Genomic DNA, 24568 nt, shown 5'->3' on the forward strand with positions numbered 1-24568 from the left:
GAGTCACTTAACTTGGTGATAAAATTAAAATAATGGATACTAACTAATCTGGAGGGTGTTTACTCCCCAAGTAGTAAGTATTTATAAAGGCCTGGGGACCCCTTATTACAAGAAAGGAACGAACAATTATTTATTTTGTCGTATCAAGGTGTTCTCTCCATAATAGATGCAGCTAAACAAGAAACCACAAGTATTTTATTATTATTTACTTGCCTAAAAATAAGTGACATTATAGACAATGAATAATTTTCTTACCACTGAATTTATAAATACGCTATGTAAACAGGACTGTGTAACAAGAGTAGTCCCAGATTGAACTGTGTTGTAGCTTTTGACTCAGAAATAAAAAAGCAGCCCCTGACCTCCATGAATTGATCTGATTCTCACAGCTAAGTCATGTTGTCTTTTATTGCACATAAATAATCTCACAGAACACCCACCTCAGTCAAGGGCACTGTGAAACTCATAACAACCAAATATCTCCGTCTCACACTAAATGAGTGGCAGCTACTTCTTTATCAATTGCATCAATTGCATCTGCCCTTCCTATAGAGAAGATTTATAAAAATGCTCAATCATATTTCTCTGACAACACCCGATCCAGAATGAATTTCCACTTACAAGACCCTCTCAAATCACCCAGGCTAGCCCAAATGTTATAGAGGTTCTTTCTCATGCCTTCTTACTGAGACACCCAATGATTCCCCATGGTGTGTGTTCTTTCTACCTACAAGGAGCACTCACCCAAATTAAAAGGTATATCCTAGTGGTCTTTAGTTGGAAAGCATTGACACTATTCCTATATATAATCCTCATGCAGGTGCCAACAGTTTTCTTCACACTCAGAGCATAAAGGAAGAGCTTATATTATATTAATAAATACAATAATCTTCCTCGTTTTCTTATGACAATAGGAGGAGAGGGGTGTGGATATTTGGTTCCAACTTTTGCAAGAACAAGAGTCCATTTAAACCTAGATGACGGGTTGATAGGTGCAGCAAACCACCATGGCACATGAATACCTATGTAACAAACCTGCATGTTCTGCATATGTATCCCAGAACTTAAGGTGTTTTTTTTTTTTTTTTAAAGAGTCCATTTAAAATTTTAGATGCTGAGATGTCCAAATAGAACCCTCCAGGGATTGTCCTCTCTGCTGGAACACCAAATCAAATAACTATTCCCATAAGAAAGGATCTTCATAAGAGCCAAAAATTAGAGCTACCACTGTACCTGGTTTTAACATCAGAGCAAGGGAAAAGGCACCGAAGAGGGTAATTATTACACCTCCCCTGCCCCCCATCAGCAGTGGCCACATGGTGCAGAGAGAGAATCTATGTGCTCAGGAGAGTGCAGTGATTGTGGGACTTCGCATTAGAACTCGGTGCTGTACCATCACAGCAGAAAGCAACACAAGGCAGAATTCAACCAGCACTCACAGAGGGATCATTCAGACCAGCCCTAGCCAGAAGGAAATTGTCTGTTCCAGCGGTTGGAATCTGAGTTTCAGCAAACCATGCCACCACAGGCTAACGTGCTCTGGGGTTCTAAAACTTGAAAAGCAATCTAGGCCACAAAGACTGCAATGAGTGGGCAAGTCCTGGTGCTGTGCTGGTCTTTGAGCCAATAGACTTGGGGTGCACATGACAGTGGTACACCAGCTGGGGCAACTAAGGGAGTGCTTGTGTCTCTCCTCCCACAACTCCAGGCAGTGTAGCTCCAGGAGAGATTGCCTCCCTCTGCTTGAGGAGAGAAGAGGGGAGAGTAAAGAGGACTTTGTCTTATAACTTGGATACCAGCTTACCCACAGTAGGATAGGGTAACAGGTAGAGTTCTGAGGCCCCCATTTCAAACCCTAGCACCTGGAAAACATTTCTAGACACACCATGGCCCAGAAGGGAGCCCATTGCTTTGTTTTTTTGTTTGCTTGTTTTTTGTTTCTGTTTTTTTTTTTTTTTTTTTTTAAGATGGAGTCTTGCTCTATTGCCCAGGCTGGAGTGCAGTGGTGTGATCTTGGCTCACTGCAACCTCTGCCTCCCAGGTTCAAGCAATTATCCTGCCTCAGCCTCCCAAGTAGCTGGGACTACAGGCACGCACCACCATGCCTGACTAATTTTTGTATTTTTAGTAGAGACAGGGTTTCACTATGTTGGACAGGCTGGTCTCAAATTCCTGACCTCCTGATCTGCCTGCCTCAGCCTCCCAAAGTGCTAGGATTATAGGCATGAGCCACCATGCCTGGCCAGGAGCCCATTGCTTTGAATGGAAGGCCCCAGTCCTGGCAAGATTCATCATCTCCTAAATAAAGGACCCATGGGCCCTGAATAAACATCAGGGACACCCAGGTAGTAGTAGCCATGGGCCTTGGGTAAGACCCAGGGCCATGCTGACTTCAAGTGTGACCCAGCACATTCCCAGCTATGGTGGCCATATGGAGAAACTCCTCCTGCTTGAAGAAAGAAGAGACAAGAGTGGGAAGGACTTTGTTTTGTGGCTTGGGTGCCAGCTCAGCCACAGTAGAATAGAATACCAAGCAGATTCGTAAATTTCCCAAATCCAGGCCCTGGATCCCAGACGGCATTCCTGGACCCACTCAGGGTCTAGGGGAGCTCATTGCCCTGAAGGGAAGGACACAAGTCTGGCTGGATTTGCCACACGCTGATTAAAGAGCTCTTGGGCCCTGAATGAATATTTGTGGTAGCCAGGCAGTGGTTGTCATGGGTCTGGAGTAAGAGCCAGTGCTGTGCTGGCTTCAGGTCTGAACTACCACAGTCCCAGTGGTGGTGGCCACAGAGGGGCTTGTGTCATCCCTCTCCCAGCTCCAGGCAACTCAGCACCGAGAAAGAGAGATTTAGTTTGTTTGGCGGAAAGTAAGGGAATAGAACAGAGTCTGTCCTGGTAACCCTGGGAATTCTCTCAGATCTTACCCAAGATCACCAAGGCAGTATCACTATGAGTCTGCAAGAGTCACATCATTACTGGGCTTGAGGTGCCATAATGCAGATAGAGCTTCACTGAACAAAGATTTAGATCATAACATTCAATTCCCTTTGAATACTTGGAAAGCCTTCCCAAGAAGGATGAATACAAATAAGCCCAGAGTGTGATGACTACAATAATACCTCACTCTTTAATACCTAGACATTGATAAACATCTGCAAGTATCAAGACTATCCAGGAAAACATGACCCCACCAAATGAACTAAATAAGGCACCCATGACCCTATCCTGGAATGACAGAGATAAGTGACCTTTCAGACAGAGTTCAAAATATCTGTTTCACACTGAATAAAGAATTACTTTGAGCCATCCACACAGAGGCATGAGATCTGACACTGGAAGACAGGAGTCTATTGTAACTGATGTAAAACAAACAAAATCTTGGGGAAAATAATATCAGGATAGTATTTTGATTCTGGATTTATTTTAAGCATTGTGCACATCACTGATTTGCAAAGCGTGGTCCTCACAGGTGGCATTGGACTCCCCCTGAGCTTGTGAGATATGTAAATAAATGGGTGCCGTGCTGACCTACTTCATCAGAATCTCAGGGGATGGGGCTGAGGAATTGTGCTTCAGCTACTTCTCCAGGTGATGCCTATGCATGTAAAAGTTTGAAAACATGGTATAGATGTGGTTTGAATCTCTCGAAACTTAGAAATCACTTAAAGTCTGCCTCAGATGAATGTATCTGCAGCACTTTGTGTACATGCCTGAAGTGCCATCAGATCAGCTAGCGCTCTCTCAATCTCAATCTCTCTCTCTCTCTCTTTCCTCTTTAAATATACCTCAACTGGAAAATATTGAAAAAGTAGCAGATAGCACTGAGTTCTTGATAATATCTTTGTATATTTTTATATAATTATTTCCTTACTTAAAAATGAACTAGAAAGCAAAAGAAAAAATGAGCAACAAATATAAATATATTGTTTAAAATGAAGGTAAATGTAAACATATTTTACATGAAAAAGTAAAGCCTTTAATGGCATTTGTTATTTTTAAAAATCTAAAAATAAAAATGCCAGTGAGAATGATATACCCCCACCTCAGAGAATGGTTTCTCCTGGAAGCAAGAAAAAGAAAAAGAATTAGAGGATAAGGTTCCAGTTGTATTAGTAACATTTTATTTTTAAAGAAAACACTATGTAAATCAACATGAAAAAATATTACTTCTGATAAAGTCTAAAAAGTGGGCAGATAAGAAAATGCTGTATCATACTCCAAATTCTTGAAGTATTACAATAATAAAATAACTCAGGTATTTTAAAATCCAAAATAAAATATAATCTCTCAATTAAAAAATGGTTTTTTTTAGAACAATGATAAAGTGAACATAAGGAGCCAAACATTTTTATACACTATGGATAAGAGTGTTAATTGGTAACACATATTATGTAAGAAACTATAGTTGGAATCATACAGACATTCCAGAACAGCTTCTTTCACCTACCAATATGCATTTAAGGTTTCTCCATTTCTTTTCATGGCTTGATAACTCACTTGTTTTTAGGACAGAATAATATTCCATTACAGAATTACCACAATTTATCTATGCATTCACCTATTATAGGACATCTTGGTTGTTTCCACATTTTGGCAATTATAATTAAAGCTGAAATAAACATCTGTGTACAGGTTTCTAATTAATTCTAATTAATTTCTAATTGTGGTCACATATTTTCAACTTCTTGTCAATATTTTGTGTTGTCGGTGTTTTGGATTCAGGCCATACTAACCGGTGTGTAGTGATATGTCATTGCTTACATTTGCAATCCCCTAACGGCATATGAAGTTGCGAGTCTTGACTGACTTGCCTACCATTGTCAATTTTTTTTAACCTTGTCAAATGTCCCTCTTTCAAACATCGCTCTCCCCTGTATGGAAATCTTTCCTCCTGAGGTTTGGGTAAATAAATGAGAAAGATAAGAGGAGATCTTAAGATGAGAAATTTCAGTAAATGTGCTTGAGAGTTTGGAATGGAACGCCATATCATAACAGTTTATGTAATTTAATAAAAATAGTTTATGTGCTCCTTTAGGTGTTAAATTCATATACAGAGATACATTAATTAAGCCTTTCTCACCTGCCTTACCTGAAAACATCATAGATTAAATGTTAGAGCCAAATATCACCCTGTGGGAAACTAACTGTAGTTTGAGAGGTTGTGTTTTTTGTTTTTTTGTTTTTGTTTTTGTTTGTTTGTTTTTTGTTTTTTGTTTTTGGAAGGAGAAACAAAGAGAGTTACAAAAAAATAGGAAGGAGAAACTCGGTGTTATGTGTATTGTCCACAAAACAAATATACGTGAAGAGTATCTTGTTTTGGTTTCAATAATTTTATTGTATTTTGCACTACAAATGGATATCTTCCCGTATGTTCATGGCTTTCAAGTAAAAAATACATTTCTTTAACTTATTTGATGATGTATTAGAAACAGGCACATCTAACATCTTAGAAATATAAGAGAAAAATATTTCTTGTTTTTCTACCAATACCTCATCTTTTATCTGAACTCCAAGGTTTAAAGAGGATGAGAAGTCTCCCAGGCACCAACCTGTCTATGCTCACGGCACAACACTGGCACCTACATATGGGCTCTAACCGAAAGACTGATTTGGACTGATTTGGACTGATTTGATGGCAACTCACGTGTGTTACTCCAGCGATTCAAGCCTGTGCTTTACCAAAAGGAAAGCTAAACTCAGTCCCATTGGATTCACTAAGACTTGATCCTTTTCAAAAAATAAAATGTGTAAAACTAAATAAATAGTATTTCTTTTTGAAATATCATGGCTCAAAGCAACTTCAACACTCAACACTGATGGGATCAGGAATGATTGACCGTTTTCATGGGAGATAATGACACACATTACTTATTTTCATTGGAGGAATTTATGAAGTGTGGAAATATTGCTTATCCATAGGCATGTAGGACAGACATAAAGAGAACAAGACTTAGAAGAAAATTGCCTTCTTAGTGGATGGCTATAGGTATTGTCAAGAGGATGTTTGCATTCTCAAAGAGTAACTGAGGGACTGCAGACATTAGCTAGGATTATCCTGATGATAATAATTATAGTAATAATTACTTACATTATCTTTAACTGTTGGCACAATTCTTCCCCAGACATTTTCAGAATAAGAAAATCAGAGTATGGGAACGTTTCTCCCTGAAAAATGAATGCAACCAAGAAAAATTTCAACTATCTCTAAAATAAATATAGACTTGCCTTGGCTCTCAGCCCACTTCCAGTTGGAAATAAACAAAATTCAGAAACTATTTGCTTCAGAATCAGCCTGTTTATACCATACCCATCATGTTGGTTGAGTGGTTTTTTGTAATTTTCAGAGTAATTTAATTCCAGTCTTCTACTTAACATGTAAAGGAAAAGAAACACTTTCTGGGGAAAGGAACCACCTATTTGCCACAATCGAACACTTGCTGTGACTGATACATAGTATATATGGAATAAATATTTGCTGAGTATTACAAAAAGACAAAAAACTACAATGAAACCATAGATGTATCTGCAAAGTTTGTATAACTTGTCTGTATGTAGACTGGAGATTTCTTTTTTTTGTTTTGTTTTGTTTTGTTTTGTTTTGACACCGAGTCTGGCTCTGTCGCCCAGGCTGGAGTGCATGGCGCTCGGCTCACCGCAAGCTCCACCTCCCAGGTTCACGCCATTCTCCTGCCTCAGCCTCCTGAGCAGCTGGGCCTACAGGTGCCTGCCACCACGCCCAGCTAATGTTTTGTATTTTTAGTAGAGATGGGGTTTCACCATGTTAGCCAAGATAGTCTCGATCTCCTGACCTCGTGATCCGCCTGCCTCCGCCTCCCAAACTGCTGGGATGACAGGGGAATTCTTACCTGCTCATCTGAAGTGTTCAGGTGAATGTCAGTAGTACACTGAAATTCTCATATTCTGCTGTAGGCATTGTGACATAAGTAAACTCCACTGTACTTATGAGTGTTTTTGGATGTGTTGAGAGAAGCATCCAGCTCCAGTTGAAACACTGGAACATCATTCAGTGCCTTTTATCAACTAGGACCATGCCCCCTGACTCTTGGAATATTTTCTCTTTTTATTCTTGCCTTCTTTCATTTTGCCTTAACTTTTTTACACAGACAGAACTATATATGCCCTGACATTTTCTCCCATGAGAGTGATTTAAATGTTAAGTGTATAGTGTTGCAATAAACATGGGACTGCAGTTAGAACTGAGGACCTTATGTTGCATGAAATAAGCCACGCACAGAAGGACACACTTTGGATGATCTCAGTCATTTGCAGAAGCTAAAAATTAAAGCAATTGAACTCATGAAGACAGAGTAGAATGATGGTTACTAGAGGCTGGTAACGGTAGTAGTGGGTGGAGAAAGTGGGATAGTTAATGGGTACAAAAATATAATTAGATAGAATGAAGAAGATCTAGTATTTGATAGCACAACAGGGTGACTACAGCCAACAATAATTTATTGTATACTTAAACATAAATAAAAGAGTATAACTGAAATGTTTGTAACACAAAGACATGATGAATGCTTGAGATGATTAATGCCACATTTACCCTGATGCAATCACTACACATTATATGCCTGTATCAAAATATTTTATGTATTCCATAAATATACGCACCTACTGTGTACCCACACAAATTAAAAAATTCAATGCTAAGTGTCCCATACCTGAACAAAACCAAGGCTCTCACATAGTAAATGAAAGAATGGAGGTCTTCGGAGGTTCATTTATTTGCCAAAGGACCCATATTTAATTACTGGCTGTACTGGTTATCTATTGCTCTATAACAAAAGCTTAGACACTAAAAGTAACAAATAGTTATTATCTCACAAAATTTTTTGAGGGTCAGGCCTCCAGGAACATCTTAGTTCTGGTTCTCGGTCTCCCACAAGGTTGTAGTTCATACATCGGTCAGGGCTGCAGCCATCTGAAGGGTTGACTGGGCTGGAGCATCTGATTCCAAGATCGCTAAGTGGCTGTTGGCCAGTGGCCTCCAAGCCTCACCATGTGGCCAGCTGGATTTCCTCAAAGCAAATGATCTGAGACAGAGAAAGAGAAAGAAAGAGGAAGAGGAGGAAGGGAATGAGGAGAGGAAGAAAGAGAAAACCTGAAATGTCACTTGTAACCTAATTTTAGAAGAGGTATACAGTTATATCTGATGTATTCTATGGGAAACACAGATCAATTTTGATAAATGGAAGTAACCGTCATTCTACTCTGTCTTCATGAATTCAATTGCTTCATGAGTTCAAATCCTTCACAAGAGGATTTGAATACCTGGGGGTGAAGATCACTGGGGGTCATCTTGGAAGCTGACTACTGTAGTGGCCTAGCAAGAATTACACACCAGGTGTTCTAACTTAAGTCCATGCTCTTTTCACTACACTTTACATCATTTATCATCCCCTTCTTTTGTTGAATGTTTTGTAATTTTCTTATTCTATATCTCAGATGATATCTATATAAATTCCAATTATCTTTATGTGATTAAAACTTAAAAACTATAATAATAAAAATATTTTATAACTATAGCTCAATTCTTAGCATAATTGCCATCAAACTTGATAACAAAGTTATCAAAACATAACTTTCTTATTGAAACCAAAAATGATAACAGGTGGATTGTACATAGTCTAGATATAGTTAAAGAGAGAGTACAGATCTAAGAATTTAGACTGAAAAAAAATACCAGAATGCCACACACAGAAATAAGAAAAAATATGAAAAATGTCAAAGATTAGAGAAATATGATAGATCAAAAAGCCTCAATATTTAAGAAGAATTCCAAAAATGAAAGAATTGAGAATATAAAATAGAGTCAATATTTGGCTGAGAATTTTCCAGAATTAGAGCAAGATATGACTACTCAAACCGGGGAAAAGAATATATTTCTTAATTTAACTGTCGAAATAATCACTTTAATTAAGGATTATTTCAGGTAAATAAAATAAGCACAGAAAAGATAAAAATAAACTGGTTAAATCTGCCCAGTGACAAGTGGTGGAATCGTCATTCTAATTCCCAAGCCTCTTGCCCACGAGCGCCTACATCTTGGTCATTTACGTTAACACGTGCCCACAGTGGTGCCTGTACCTAATTCAAAACCCTGCCCCTTCCTGAATACCTGCTTTCTGAGATCACCTGGGCAGATCAAATAAACTCCAGAGACACAGCATTTGGAAGGACGAATGAGACTGAACATCCATCCTAAGCAAATAAAATGCCAACAGCATAAACCAATCCATTTTTGCAGAATAGTAAGTAAGTAAGTTTAGTTAGAAAAAGAGTCAATTTCAGGAGAATCTTGAACTAAGACTAGGATGTTTGAATTCAACTTTGTACATTGGGCATGAATTCTTTCCCTACCATGCCATAAGTTTCTTGAGCTAAAGGTGTGTTTTATTCACCCATAAGGTTGCATGCACAGGATAGACTCTTCTAGATGTGTGATAAGTTCTAGAACTAAACCCTGAAGAACACTCACATTTAGGATATGGAAACAGAAAAAGAAGGCAATTAGGAAGACAGAGGAGAGTTCAGGGAGATAAGAGAATAACAGTGTTAAGGATGGTAAAGTACTGCCTAGAAGAGAAGAGGTAACATCAATGTCCAATGTCCCTGAGAGGCTAAAAAAATTAAACATATATAAAAGGTAATTGGGTGTGGTAATTGAGAGATGAGTAGTAAATTTTTCAGAATATACTTTCAGGAGAATATAAGGAGGAAAATCAGGTACATGATGTAATTTTTGACCTCTGGAAATTTGGAAGACAAGATATAATCAAATACAATAAGCAATAATAATTATGAGTCACTACATTTTTGGAATTTCAGCAGTATGTCTTTGGTGTATGATTGTGTCAAATCATCTCTACTAACTCACAAAAAAAAATCTAATTCTGAGAATATTCTGAGATGGCCAAAATACTTAGCACTAGAAAGACAGAATGTTGTAATTAAACTCTTATTGTTTGTTATAATTAACTAAAACAATACCCTTAATCATTATATAATCTGTCTTAGATTTGAAGACTCAGAATCTATCCCTTGTATAAGTAGAAACAACATTCACGTGGTCATTTAGAAATAGTATTTTTCTCTCTTCAAACTTAAAGAATAAGTTTAATGAGGATAATGTTACTGCTTATTAAGTTTAAATTTTAGGGCAAAATTCCCTTAGAAATGTTTTTTTTTTTTTTTCAGCCAGGTGCTGGTGGCTCACGCCTGTAATCCCAGCATTTTGGGAGGCTGGGGCAGGCAGATCATGAGGTCAAGAGATCAAGACCTTCCTGGCCAACATTGTGAAACCCCGTCTCTACCAAAAATACACAAATTAGCTGGGCGTGGTGGCGCATGCCTGTAGTCCCAGCTACTCAGGAGGCTGAGGCAGAAGAGTTGCTTGAACCCGGGAGGCGGAGGTTGCAGTGAGCTGAGATCACTGCACTCCAGTTTGGGCGACAGTACGAGATTCTGTCTCAAAAAAAAAAAAAAAAAAAAGACAGAGAAAAGGAAATATATTTTTTTCTCTAAGACAGAAAGGCATTGATTTCTTTTTATATTTCTTGCTTCAAATGGCAATCTTTGCTTATGATATTATCATTCTTATTTATTCATTACAAAAATATTATATATATTTAGTTATAAGATACATATAGTGTATGTATCTATCCATATTCACAGCCCAGACAAAGAAGGAGGGTCTTACCTCCTGGGGCCTGAGTAGGGCATTTTTAAGTAGTCTGCTAACTTTTTCAACCCAAGTCAAGAATAAGAGGGCAAGAAATGTGTATAATTGTCAATACTATTGAGGATTAGTCTAGTTATCTTTGTTGCAAGGCAAATGAGTTTCGTTAGTACAATCTCTTTATTATTAAAAAGTGTTGGCCGGGCGCGGTGGCTCACGCCTGTAATCCCAGCACTTTGGGAGGCCGAGGCGGGTGGATCATGAGGTCAGGAGATCGAGACCATCCTGGCTAACAAGGTGAAACCCCGTCTCTACTAAAAATACAAAAAATTAGCCGGGCGCGGTGGCGGGCGCCTGTAGTCCCAGCTACTGGGGAGGCTGAGGCAGGAGAATGGCGTGAACCCGGGAAGCGGAGCTTGCAGTGAGCCGAGATTGCGCCACTGCAGTCCGCGGTCCGGCCTGGGCGACAGAGCGAGACTCCGTCTCAAAAAAAAAAAAAAAAAAAAAAAAAAAGAAGTGTTTACGTTCCCAAATGCTTTCTTCTCTGAAAATCAAAGTTCTCAAGAGAGGAGCAGCCAATAGCTATGCTCAGGTCCAAGAGAACTACAGAAAATGAATCACAACTATAGTTTACTTTTATAGAGAAAAATAACTGTAATCTAATGTTTGCAAATGCATATGCATTTGAACAATCTCTACTCATTTCCTTGTTAAAAACAAAAAGAGCTTCTGAACCCTACTGGTCCACCCAGTCAGCTGTTCCTCCCCATTTTTCTATTTCTAACAGGTCTTAAGAACGTTTTCTATCTCATTTTTACCTCTTAATCTTCAAGACATTTAAAAATGGCCTCTGACCTCACAACTTTAGCATTTACCTATATCCATGTATTTTTCATAGTAAATGTATGGATGTCATGTGGAAAATTCAAAGATAAAACACAGAAGACCATGTAGTAAGTGAGTGGTAGTTACTGCTATTTAGGGTAGCTGCTCCTCTACAGCAGGACCTAGGATTTGAGAGGCTGGGTTGGTGACAAAGAAGCAGATGCCCAGGAAAACTTGCTAGTATAAACCCCTATGACATTTTTCATTACCTTGACAATTTTTTCTCCTCTAGTTCTCAGATAATGGTCCAATCTTATCTTACGCTTGATGGAGTTACCCCAATACTGACAGAGAATACTTGAACTAAAATGCAGCCCCCAAAGTATGACAGGTCTGTCTTTGCTGATATTTAATGCACAGCTAGTTCTCCTGAAAGACAAAACTTTGCTTTATTACTTATTTTTATATCAAGAGGCAGATTGAAAGCAAACAAGGGAGGAAGAGAGTGTGGATAGGGTCAAAGGCTAAATTCTCTGAGGAAAGATGTGCGCACACAGCTGAACACCAGACCAGGGTAGAAAATAACAGTAAAGATAAGCTTGATTTCAGTACATGGAAAATTCCTTTATCCTTCCTAATTTAAATTATAAATCTGCTTCATCTGTTGATGATCTGTGATTCCCAGCAACTTATTCTTATACATTGTGATATATATTTTTGAACATATGAGACAGGAATAATAACATTAACTCTGGCCCTCTAGTGATATTGGAAAGATAAATCAGATAATATTTCAAAAAGTATAAAAAGTTTCTTTAGAAGAAAATTATTATATCAATCCAAGCTACAAATGTAATTGCAAGACAATATTCTTTTTATTAATTGACCTAGGAAAAGATTTGCTACCGGAAAAGGGTCCTGATCCAGACCCCAAAAGAAGGTTCTTGAATCTGGCACAAGAAAGGATTTGGGGCAAGTCTATAGAGGAAAGTGAAAGCAAGTTTATTAAGAAAGTAAAGAAAGAAACAAAAGAATGGCTACTCCATAGGCAGAGCAGTCGTGAGGGTTGCTGGTTGGCTATTTCTATGGTTATTTCTTGATTACATGCTAAACAATTGGTGGATTGTTCGTGAGTTTTCCAGGAAACAGGTGGGAAATTCCCAGAACTGAAGGTTCCTCCCTTTTTTAGACCATATAGGGTAACTTCTGGGCATTGCAGTAGCATTTGTAAACTGTCATGGTGCTGATGGGAGTGTCTCTTAGCATGCTAATACATTACAATTAGCATTTAATGAGCAGTGAGGATGACCTGATGTAGCTTTCATTGCCATCTTGGTTTGGTGGGTTTTGGCTGGTTTCATTACAGCATCCTGATTCATCAGCAAGGTCTTTATGACCTGTAACTTGTGACCTCCTATCTCATCCTGTGACTAAGAATGCCTAACCTCCTGGAAATGCACCCTAGCAGGTCTCATCCTTATTTTACCCAGCCCCTGTTCAAGATGGAGTCACTTTGGTTCACATGCCTCTGATAGTATCTAAGTCTTGTGAAAGGATTTGGCATTGTTGATGTGGGGCTAGTGAAAACCAAGGGAGGAAAGAGCACTTGTCTTACAGTGTTTTATTCATTAACTCACCTTATGTATATGTGTAGATGTAGATACAGCTATGGATGTAGATTTATATAGAGAAATATAGCAACTCTTAGGTATGGCACTATGATAGTTATTAAAGGGTATTTTAAAAATTGTTGCTTTCCAGAGTTTAAAATAATGTTAGCAAAACAAGATAATTATATAGTCTTTTGGATGTTTATTCATACTTTTTGGGTAGTGTGAATATAGAGAACAAATGTATCATGGTTTAAAACATCAGAATTTGATTTTTTTTCTCTAAAAATTATATACTAGCAAATACTATTGTTCTTAATTCAACAGATTAAATTATCATAAACACTGACTATGCTTGAAAAATAGAACTTTTCAGCCAGGTGTGGTGGCTCATGCCTGTAATCCCAGCACTTGGGGAGGCCGAGGCGGGCGAATCACCTGAGGTCAGATGTTTGAGACCAGCCTGCCCAACATGGCAAGACTCCATCTCTACTAAAAATTAAAAAAAAAAAAAAAAATTAGCTTGGCGAGGTGGCGGGTGCCTGTAGTTCCAGCTACTCAGGAGGCTGAGGCAGGAGAATCACTTGAACCCAGGAAGTGGAGGTTGCAGTGAGCCGAGATCGCACCGCTGCACTCAAACCTGGACAAGAGTGAAACTCTGTCTCAAAAAAAAAAGAAAAAAGAAAAAGAAAATAGGACTTTTCCAAAAATTTAAAAGTGGGTTTAAAGAATGTCTGTGCAGCAGCTTTAAGATTTGTTAAACAAATGGATCCATGCAAACAGAAGCAATTAGTATTATAGAGTTTTCATTTTGTAAATTTGCCAGACTAAATATTTTATTAAATTTGTGTCTGCTTTAAAAACTCTTGCTGCTAAAACAGTTTTGTAAATATAAACCATATTGAGAGGGGAACTGGAGTGGCTAACTTCACTCAGCCCACCGCTGGCCACTCTCCTCGTGAGAGGGAGCATGTAAGCGAGTGCAGGAACCAGAGGGAAGGAACACTGAAACCGGCCAGTCACTCCTTTCTGGCAGGAGCAGGCTCTATGCAGGCTCTGCAGCAGTGTCCAAGCTCCTGCCCTCTTGGCACTCAGGTTCTTGTCTGGCCTCCAGGAAGAATCAGGTCGCACAAATGGATTGAAGGGTAGTGTATGCAGAGGATTTTAATGGGTGATAAAAGTGGCTATCAGAGGGGTGGGGAATTGGAAAGGGGATGGTGTAGGAAGAAGGTGATCTATCCCTGAAGACATACTGTCTGAAGTTAGCCGCATCTATCTGTAGTCTCTGATGCTAAGTTGCTGCTTCTCTGCCTACTGCTTAGCAGCTTGTATCCCTCTGCTAGCTAAAGTCTTTTAGGTAGTGTGAATGGGCACAAGATAGAGGCATGGCAGGTCAAAAAAGCAACATATGGGTGGAAAAATGGGGTCAGCTGTTTTCACTTAGAACCAGGTTCCAGGCTTAAGGGTGGATGTTTAGCCAGGAGCCCAGCTGTTCTGTATCAATACTATTGTCTAATTTCATCACGGCGCTTCAAAATGATACAAAAAAGACTCGTGACATAAAATTATATATATATATAACTGGGCACAGTGGAATGCATCTGTACTTCCAGCTACTCAAGCGGCTGAGGCAGGAGGGTCTTGAGCCCAGGAGTTTGAAGCTGTAGTGTGCCATGATCATACCTGTGAATAGCCACTGTACTCCAGCCTGGGCAACATAGGGGACCCCATCACTAAAACAAACATATGACAACCAGAAAAAACCCACTTCATATATATGTAATACACACACACACATGAATTTCATGTCAAGGATGAGGAACAGTAATTGTAAGGAGAATGGACTTGGATGACTGTAGCTGAAAGTAACCTGTGGGAAAAGACAATGAAAGTCTGAGGCTCAAGGTGTAAGTCCAGGGGTTTTGTTAGCAACATTTGAGAACAGAAAAGGCTCAGGCCCAGGACTTAATCACAAGAGCAGCAGAAGTGGAGAAAATGTTGGATTCTCAGCTCGGAAGGTCTTCCAGATGAAAGTCAGAACACTGAGTGATTAGAAGTGGCAGCATGAAATAAGAGCTGCAGCACGAGTTAATGCACCTGAAAATGTGAATTCGCCGATTTCTATGAGCCTCTAGGCCTGCAGAATTAGCCAACTGCTTTGGATTTAAGGAGAATGCCACCCCTCCTACCCCTATTTCTTGAAGAAAATGACTTTCTTGCCGGTAAATATATGACCCTTAAGGGCAAACACATATTAAAAATAAGAGGCTTAATTCTGGCTGTTAAAATAAGGGAAAAGACTCCCCCACCCCCTTTTTTTAGAGCTTTGACTTTAGAACATGTGTTAAGTTTTCTCTTTGAAATATATGTAAATCTTTTAAAAAGCTAAATAAGCCTCTTGCCCACTTTATAACCCAGGAATGTCTTTTTTAAGAACCTGGGAATCAACCCTTTGAAATGTGACCATGAGGGAAGACAGCAGCCCTAGCACCCAGTTTCTAAAGAAGGTAGGAAACCTAACTTCATGGCACCTTGCTCCAAGTTGCAAAACTACAATACCTCTAGTCAGAAAGATGTGAGACATTTATGTTTCCTTTGGACAAAGTCAATTAGCAAACACAGATGGCCACCCTAATTACCAGATAAGCTTAGGATGAACGACATGTGACAAATGGTAGTGCCAAGTCCTTTTACTTGAGGGCTAATTATTATATATCTTGAAAACTTGAGCGTAATGTGTTGTGTTTGCCTGCTATATCAAAGGGTGAGATGTCTTTCTGGTTTTGCAATCTCTTAGCAGATTTCCTGTAATGCGCATCACATTATGGTTTAATGATTATTCAATAATGAAACTGTTTTCTTTCTTTTCTACTTCTATGGAGAGGTTTTCTACGTTCAAAGGAAATTGTGTTTTAATTATATTTCCCCAACAACCCCATCTCCAGGTCAGCCCTTCTCTTCCGGCCACCAGATCAATAACTGACAAGAGAACTGCTGGGTGTCCTGAGGAGTAGTTGGGGCCACAGGCCAAAGGAGCCACAGGACAAGGCTAACATGAACCCCAGGAACTGTGTGCAGCTGGAATGAATCCGATGGTGGTGGATCAATAGAAGAAGAGCATAGAGATGGATATGAGAATTCTCAATCTGGGAACACTCCCAGAAGATAGGATTTAATCCCCTAGTAGGAGTCCCAGGAGGCCATTCTAATATTACCACTGGGTAACTTTGAAGCTTAGAAAAAGTGATGCTTCATATCAACTGTAGTTAAAATAGAACAACAATGGCATACTCTACAGGATGACTGCAAATGATTTATAAAAGAGGATTTGCTAAATTGGTTCTATATCTGAGATCCAGTACCCCTGCCTACTCTGCTTCTCAGGAGGACCTGCCTGAAACTCTACATATCAAAGAAATAAGGAAGGCTGATCTCAGTTTATCAGAACAATAAGGAATGTCTATCTTACCAGTATCATTATCAAGTGATAGCTATCTTCTATAGACCTGGGATGATGGCAGGAGAGGCTCTTACAGAAATGTGCTCCCTGATAGCAATGGGAATAATAGAAACCTCGAATAAGAAAGGCAAGGCAGAGGACCTTCATGGGGGCAGTTATCATAATGAGCAGCCAAAATGGTACCTGAGCATGGGAGTTATGTGAATAGTTAACAGAAGATGACTTTCCCAGGAGCAAGATGTATGGGCATCAGATAAGAATACTGTTCTATCTATACAATCAAACTAATTCAAGAATGGGTGATTAGGAGTTGAGAGCAGTCATCCCCAAGAAAGATCACAAACTTTTGGCTAGTTTTAGGACATAAGACAGTTTTCATGGAGCCCATTTCTTGGAAAGAGAAGCTGGATTGCAAGCAGGTTGGACCCTGAAACACCACGGTAAATGAATAAGGCAATAATTCCCCAAGCTCATCCCCAAAAGACCTATGGCTATTTACTCAGCAACTATGTATTCTGAACAAGGGGAATACTTATACATTACTCATACAATACTCATACATTGATAACTAGAAACACAAAGCATCATCACATCCCTCTCTGAAAGAGTGCAGGTTATATGAGGGCCACGTTATAGAATTCTGGCCCAGGACCAACTCACATTGGGTCCTCTGGGGCCATGGACTCTACTAGTGGATTGAAAATAATTAGTAGTTGGCAGAACCTTCAGGGTCCTTGGTTTGGTGGGCTAAGAATTCTCACAGGAGGAAAGACCAGTTGAAAGCCTCTGAAATCACCTTTACCCCTGCAGTCAAGATAGCAGATCAAACATTAATGTTGCATTGTAGAGTCTAGGGTAAAGATTAGAACCAGCGTTTGGACCTAAAGGTTACTGGAGTGGTGGTGCCATTTTATCTCCATTTAATTCATTGAGCTAGATCAGAGATTGGCAAACTTTTTCTGTAAAGAGATAGATAGTAAATACTTTAGGTTTTGTGGGACATTCAGTCTCTGTCCCAAACATTCAACTCGGCCTTTGTAGCACAAGCAGCCATAGACAATACCTAAATAAATTAGTGTAGCTGAGTTTCAATAAAACTTTATTTACAAAATCAGGCAGAGGGACAGATTTAGCCTAGAGACTATAGTTTGCTGACTCATGATACAGACAATATTTAAAAATAATAGCTCATATTTATTGAGAATTTATTATATTTCAGGCATGATCAAGTTTATAAAATATTTATTAAGCTATGTCTTACTGTAGCCCTATAATTTATTATTATCTTCATTTAAAAAATATAGCCCTTTTGGGAGGCTGAGGCAGGCAGATCACGAGGTCAGGAGATTGAGACCATCCTGGCTAACACGGTGAAATCCTGTCTCCACCAAAAAATACAAAAAATTAGCCAGGCGTGGTGGCAGGCACCTGTAGTTCCAGCTACTCAGGAGGCTGAGGCAGGAGAATGGCATGAACCTGGAGGGCGGAGCTTGCAGTGAACCAAGATAGAGCCACTGCACTCCAGAGTGGGTGACAGAGCGAGACTCCATCTCAAAAAAAAAAAAAAAATAGCCCTTTTTGTTATGCATAAAATAGCAAAAAAATTTTGATCTTCAATAAGGAAAGAAAGCAAACCAATAGAGAAATGGGCAAATGATATTACTGGCTGATTCACAGAAGACAAAATTCCAATAGTGCTTAAACAGGTAAAAATATACCCAATGAGATATTGCTTCATCCCTATGAGTATCACAAGAATGATAGATTATATTCCTATTTAAAATATACACTTTTCATCCCTGAAAGAGGAGCCTACTTCTCTACCGCATTGATATTGGGCTTGGTATGTCACTTAAAATTGTATGTGACTTAAAAATTATATCAAGGAGTGTTTCTCCTGATATCAAGCTTGGCTATATGGCTTGTGGGCCCTACCCTGAGGGAGAATTATATATGATCAAACTGTTGAATCCATGTGACTTGCTTTGGCCAACAAAATGTAGACAAAACTTATCTGTGTCACTTCTGAGCAGATGCTTTAGGAGCCAGCTTACAGTTGTGAAGTCCTTTTCCATCTGACACAAGACTGACAATGTCCTACACAGAGGAGGTTCCATCAGCCTAGGGTGTAATAAACACAGTGTAGAGTAAAGCAGCAGCTTATAGACAATGGGCTTGCAACACGAGGCCTGTGAGAATAAAAGATTGCTTATGCATTTGCAAGAGCTGTATAAATTAATTATCGACACTCGGACAGGAGTTGAACCTTGTCAGGCTCCTTGTTAGAGACATCACCTTTGACAAGTTGCTAAGCCTCTCTTCGGCCTTCCTTTCCTAATGTAATGTTGACAATGATCGTGTTTTTAGAAACAAGTTTGTTTTGAAGATTAAATGAATGAGTACCTGTAGAATACACAGAATCGTGCTTAGTGCTTGGCAGACAGTCAATGCTATCTTCTCCATGATTCATTGTACTTTGGGAAATCAGTGCTAGCTTTGCTGTAAAGCTGATTTGGGCTTATAGTGTTGGCAGCAACTGATAAAACTTTGTTGCTTTTCTTTATTCTTGAACCTTCCCCTGCTGTTATTTGCATCAGGATATTCGTTTTGAATATGAGATCCCAGAGGAGGAAAGAATCACTTGGCAAACTCAAAGAAAGTTCCATTAGCATTTTCATCAAGTTTGGCATATGGCACCTCAGACAGCACAGGAAGGGGAGATGCTAAGGGCCAGTAGACTGGAAAGAGATTCCCTACTAAGTAGAATGTCTATTCAAAAGAAAAAGTAAAAGAAGAGATATGATTGTCCACAGGAAAGAATAAAAGAAATCTGAAAGTCACACTAATTTTATCTAATCTTTGAATCCTCATGTAGAAAGTATTCATTCCTTGTGATACCCAGTGAAGTTTGGTATTGTAGTCACTGTGATATTTACATATGAAAAGCGTCTAGTTAATTATATTCTGACTGTTCCACCTGTGCGAAAAAGATAAAACAAAGAAGGGTCAGGAAGAACACGACATTCAAAAGCCATCTGAAGGAGCTCAGTCTCTACAGAAAGAATGAGGAATGATAAAATTGAAGTGTCTCGTTATTTATAATATCACAGAGCATTAGGACTTAAAGTGACTTTAGCATTCAGTTTAGTTCAACAGCATTTTTGACACTGCTAATGTGTGCCAGGCTCAGCTGGTTACTGGAGATGGAAAGGAGAATGATGGTGAATGTGGCTGCCTTGGGGAACCACAACCTTCCCAGAGTAGTCAGGACACATAAACACAGTTTCATGAGAAAGAGACATGCCTATATATAAAAGTAAATTTTAAAAATATATACACAAAGGAGGAAGTGATTCAGTCTACCTTTTCGAGTCAGAGAGAAAACTCCAGAAGAGAGTAAATCCCCATTATTAAAAGTTCAAAAGAAGTGAATAATCTAAGGTTAGGTAGTTAATTCATGTCAGTAGTGGAATTTGAACTACAGACTAACTCTTTGTTTTATAGAAATTTGAAGGGTTTTTTTTTTTATCTTTTTAAATAGTTGTGTTCATTCTAGTGCCATATCATTCAAAATGTAAATGAGAAATATTATCATTTTAAAAAAGACCATTAGATCTGAATTTTCATTAGAATAGGGAATTACTCTGTCAATGTAAGGATTAGAATGTTGCTATCAAATTCAAAACTGGGGAAATTTAGACTATATTAGCAGGATTAAATTTCCAACATAGAAAATGTGTAGTGCAGAATATTCAGTATCTCACACATATTCAAATATCCTCATCCTTCAGAAAAATGCCAGAATTCAAATACATTATCTCCTCAAAAGAACACACACACAAAATTAACATGTGAATTCCTTTAAGCACATAGAGCATATTTAAACTATTTTTTAATGTATGTAATTATTTGATAATACTCACTACTCCGGCAGTGCTTGGGACTTGGCCATCTTGTCCATTGCTGTATTCCTAACTTCTAACAACAACAACAAACAAAAATCTGGTGTAATAGGGTTCTCCAGAGAAAAAGAAACAATAGGATGAATATTGTATTAGTCTGTTCTCACACTGCTAATAAAGACTTACCTGAGACTGGGTAATTTATAAAGAAAAGGAGGTTTAACAGACTCACAGTTCCACATGGCTGGAGAGGCCTCACGATCATGGTGGAAGATGAAGGAAGAACAAAGTCATGTCTTACATGTGGCAGACCAGAGAGCTTCTGCAGGGGAACTCTCGTTTATAAAACCATCAGATCTCCTGAGACTTATTCGCTATCACGAGGACAGTACGGGGGAAACTGCCCCCATGATTCAGCTATCTCCACCTGGCCCTGCCCTTGACACATGGGGATTATTACAATTCAAAGTAAGATTGGGTGGGGACACAGGAAAACCACATCAAATATATTATATGGAAAGATTTTTATTATAAGGGATTGGCTCACACAATTATGAAGGCTGAGAAGTCCTATTATCTAAGGCTGACCAATGACAGCAATGATGTGCAGGACAGCCAATAACATAGTTTCAATCTGAGTCTGAAGGCTGAAGAACCAGGAGAGCTAATGTTATTGTTCCAGTCCAAAAACAAACAGGTTCAAAACTCAAGAAGAGCTAAAGCTTTGTTCAAGGTCAAAAGCAGGAAACAGAAACAACAACAAAATGATGTGTCAGTTCAAGGCATTCAAGTGGGAGAAATCCCCTCTTACTCTCAGGAATCAGCCTTTTGTTTTTATTTAGACCTTCAGCTGGTGAGATGAAATGCACCCACACTGGGGAGGGCAATCTGGTTTACTCAGTCTGCCCATTCAAATGCTAATCTGTTTCAGAAACACCTTCTCAGACACACTGAGGGTAATGCTTCACCAAATGTTGAAGTACCCTAGAGCCCAGTCAAGTTGACACATAAATTAATCATCACATATGGTAAATAATAAGACCCAATCTATAATGTGTCTATGAATGAAGAAAGCTATGAAAAGTGGTAAGTCAAGAAAATGTGTAAAATATAGACTTGAATTTAGGTGCTGAATTAGAAAATTGTAATTTCTTCATAATGGAAGAAAAAGGATCTCTAATCAAAGGAAGCTAATGAAAAATACTAATTGAACTTTGATAGCCTGTGCTTTTTGATTCTTCCTATTGATGATGAAGGGACTTGGGAGTTTGACTTTTCCTCTCTGGGCACATGAGTTACACAGCCTTTCCATTTGGTCTTCTTCTATTCCAGGCAGCATGAGGTATCAAACTTACACTGAAGAACTGAACACAACCAGAACATAATTTACCAGTCTCTTCACATACAACTGGCTGTCTTCCTCAGTAACACGTCAGGGAACATTGTAATTACAACTGCTTTCAATTTATTTCCACTTGAGAGCCTTGCCTCCCTTGGGATTCTACAATCACCTAGGAATTCCTGAGACTCCCACACACAGTGAGAAAACCGGCTTATTTGCAAAATGTTAGGTTGTCTTCTAACATTGTGATCCTGTTTCCTGTGGGGTTTTTTTCTTTTTTTTTTTTCTTTTTGAGATGGAGTCTCGCTTTGTCACCCAGGCTGAAGTGCAATGGCGCGATCTCGGTTCACTGCAACCTCCGCCTCCCGGGTTCAAGCAATTCTCCTGCCTCAGCCTCCGGAGTAGCTGGGACTACAGGCACGCACCACCACGCCCAGCTAATTTTTGTATTTTTAGTAGAGATGGGGTTTCACTGTGTTGGCCAGACTGGTCTTGAACTCCTGACCTCGTGATCCACCTACCTCGGCCTCCCAAGGTGCTGGGATTACAGGTATGAGCCATCGTGTCTGGCAGTGATCCTGTTTTAACTAAAAGCTCTGTTTACTCCTTCCCGTTCCTGGTTACTGTTTCTTCTTTTTCCAACATTATGTGACTAATTCCTATCTCTGTGTCACATTTTCTACTCATACTCTTGAACCTATTTCATTTTACCTGAAAGATCAAAAGATGCAATTTTCTATGTAACTTTTGGGGTTGTTGTAAATGATAAATGAAATAATGACTTGTAAGGATTTATTATCTCCCAGTTATGCTGTTAGCAGTATTTTCAAATATATATATGTTATATATATATATATGCAGCTTTTAAAATAAAAATAACATGCAGGACGTGGTGGGTCATGCTTGTAATTCCAACACTTTGAGAGGCCAAGACGGGCGGATCACCTGAGGTGAGGAGTTCGCGACCAGCCTGACCTGCATGGTGAAACCCTGTCTCTACTAAAAATACAAAAATTAGCCGGTCATGGTGGTGGGCGCCTGTAGTCCGAGATACTCGGGAGGCTGAGGCTGGAGAATCACTTAAACCCGGGAGGAGTTTATGATTAAACTGGCCACCTTTGGCCTGGTGCAGTGGTTCACACCTGTAATCCCAGCACTCTGGGAGGCCAAGGCAGGTGGATCACCTGAAGTCAGGAGTTCAAGACCAGCGTGGCCAACATGATTATACCCTGTGTCTACTAAAAATACAAACATCAGCCAGGATGGTGGCGTTCACCTATAATCCCAGCTACCCAGGTGGCTAAGGCAGGACAATCATGAAGCAGGAGGGGGAGGTTGCAGTGAGCCAAGATCGCACCACGGCACTCCAGTCTGGGTGACAGGGTGAGACTCCATCTCAAAAAAAAAAAAAAAAAAAATTAAGCACCTTAATGAGTGCCTGGTTTCTCACCTCCTTGAGACTTTCTACAAAGCTATAAAAATGTGTTTCTGTTTGTGGGGAGAAGAGAGGAGGAAATGTTCATTCATTGACTCCTGCACCCCAGTTGTTAAAGTTTTAAGCCCATGGAGCATTAACTGCCCTATTCTTTGAGGTCGGGGTGCCTGGGTATGGAGCATGCTCCAGTGCCATCCCATACTTTGATCTGAGCAGTGAAGCGCTGAGCTGGGAGAAAAATAAGCAACTATTCTTTCCCTAAGAGAATAGTTCTGTTGTGAAATAATCTCATTGCTTTGTCACACCTCTGGTGCCCTATAACAGTTTTCCCATATCATTCTACATGGCACTTTCTCATTTCACTGCCTTTGCAGAATGCTAAAGGGCAGTGTTGCACAATGATTAAGAGCACACACTCGGGAGTTAAGAGTGCCAGAGTTCGAACCTCAGCCTTGACTTTTCAACATTATATACCAGCAGTGTCATTGCTCCTTAGTTCCCAACCTTAAATAATAAGAGATAATAAAAGTACCCTACCCTAAAGCCTTTTTATGAGGCTTAAAGAAGTAAAATGCATAGAAGAGTGCTTATCACATAGTCAGCTTTATATATCTGCAATTATTTTGTTTTAAATTTTTGCTTCCTCAGATATTCAAAATTTACCATAAACACAATCTATATTGAGATGTTTCTTCTTCCTAACATGAGCTACAAAATGCTGACTGTTGTTTTAATTATTTACCCTGATCAGGTGTCTTTCTGTTTACTTGACCCTGTAGTATCCTTGAATTTGAATATTTCATTTTTTATTCCCTCTGCCGCAAACATTTCACTTGGAATATGATAATAGAGGAAACTTTAAACTTCGTTACTTAGAAAAATACATGCTTTCTCTCTCCTGTCTCTGTCTCTCTCCATCTCTGTATTTTTATGTGTGTCTCTTTTTCTCTCCATACTCTCTCTCTCTCTCTCTCACACACACACACAGACACACACACACCCTTTGATCTTAAGGAAACAGGTTCAAATTCAAGTTGACATGAGAAAAGTAGAGGGAAGGAACTTTGAATAAAACATGAGACTGAAATTTCTAACTAGACTGGACTAATATTTAATAAACCAAAGTGACTGGAATGTTTTTAAATCCACCCTATGATTATGTGGACTAATGGGGAAAAGATGCATCATCTCTGGAACATAACTGAGTTATTTAAAAAAATAAAATCTTCATATGTCTGTTTATACTCCCAATGAACTGAGACACCTCAACAAACTTATAACTCATAAAT

The 24568-nt window shown here is 39.1% G+C and overlaps 1 annotated feature.

Moving 5' to 3' along the window:
• Positions 21085 to 21644: an enhancer, noted in NCBI's record as "OCT4-NANOG hESC enhancer chr18:66231510-66232069 (GRCh37/hg19 assembly coordinates)". NCBI's record gives its function as "activates a minimal SCP1, AML or CMV promoter by ChIP-STARR-seq in naive H9 embryonic stem cells {active_cell/tissue: H9 hESC(naive)}" and the evidence as "EXISTENCE:reporter gene assay evidence [ECO:0000049][PMID:30033119]".

Source organism: Homo sapiens, chromosome 18 (genome assembly GCF_000001405.40).
Source record: "Homo sapiens chromosome 18, GRCh38.p14 Primary Assembly".
NCBI classification, from domain to species: Eukaryota; Metazoa; Chordata; class Mammalia; order Primates; family Hominidae; genus Homo; species Homo sapiens.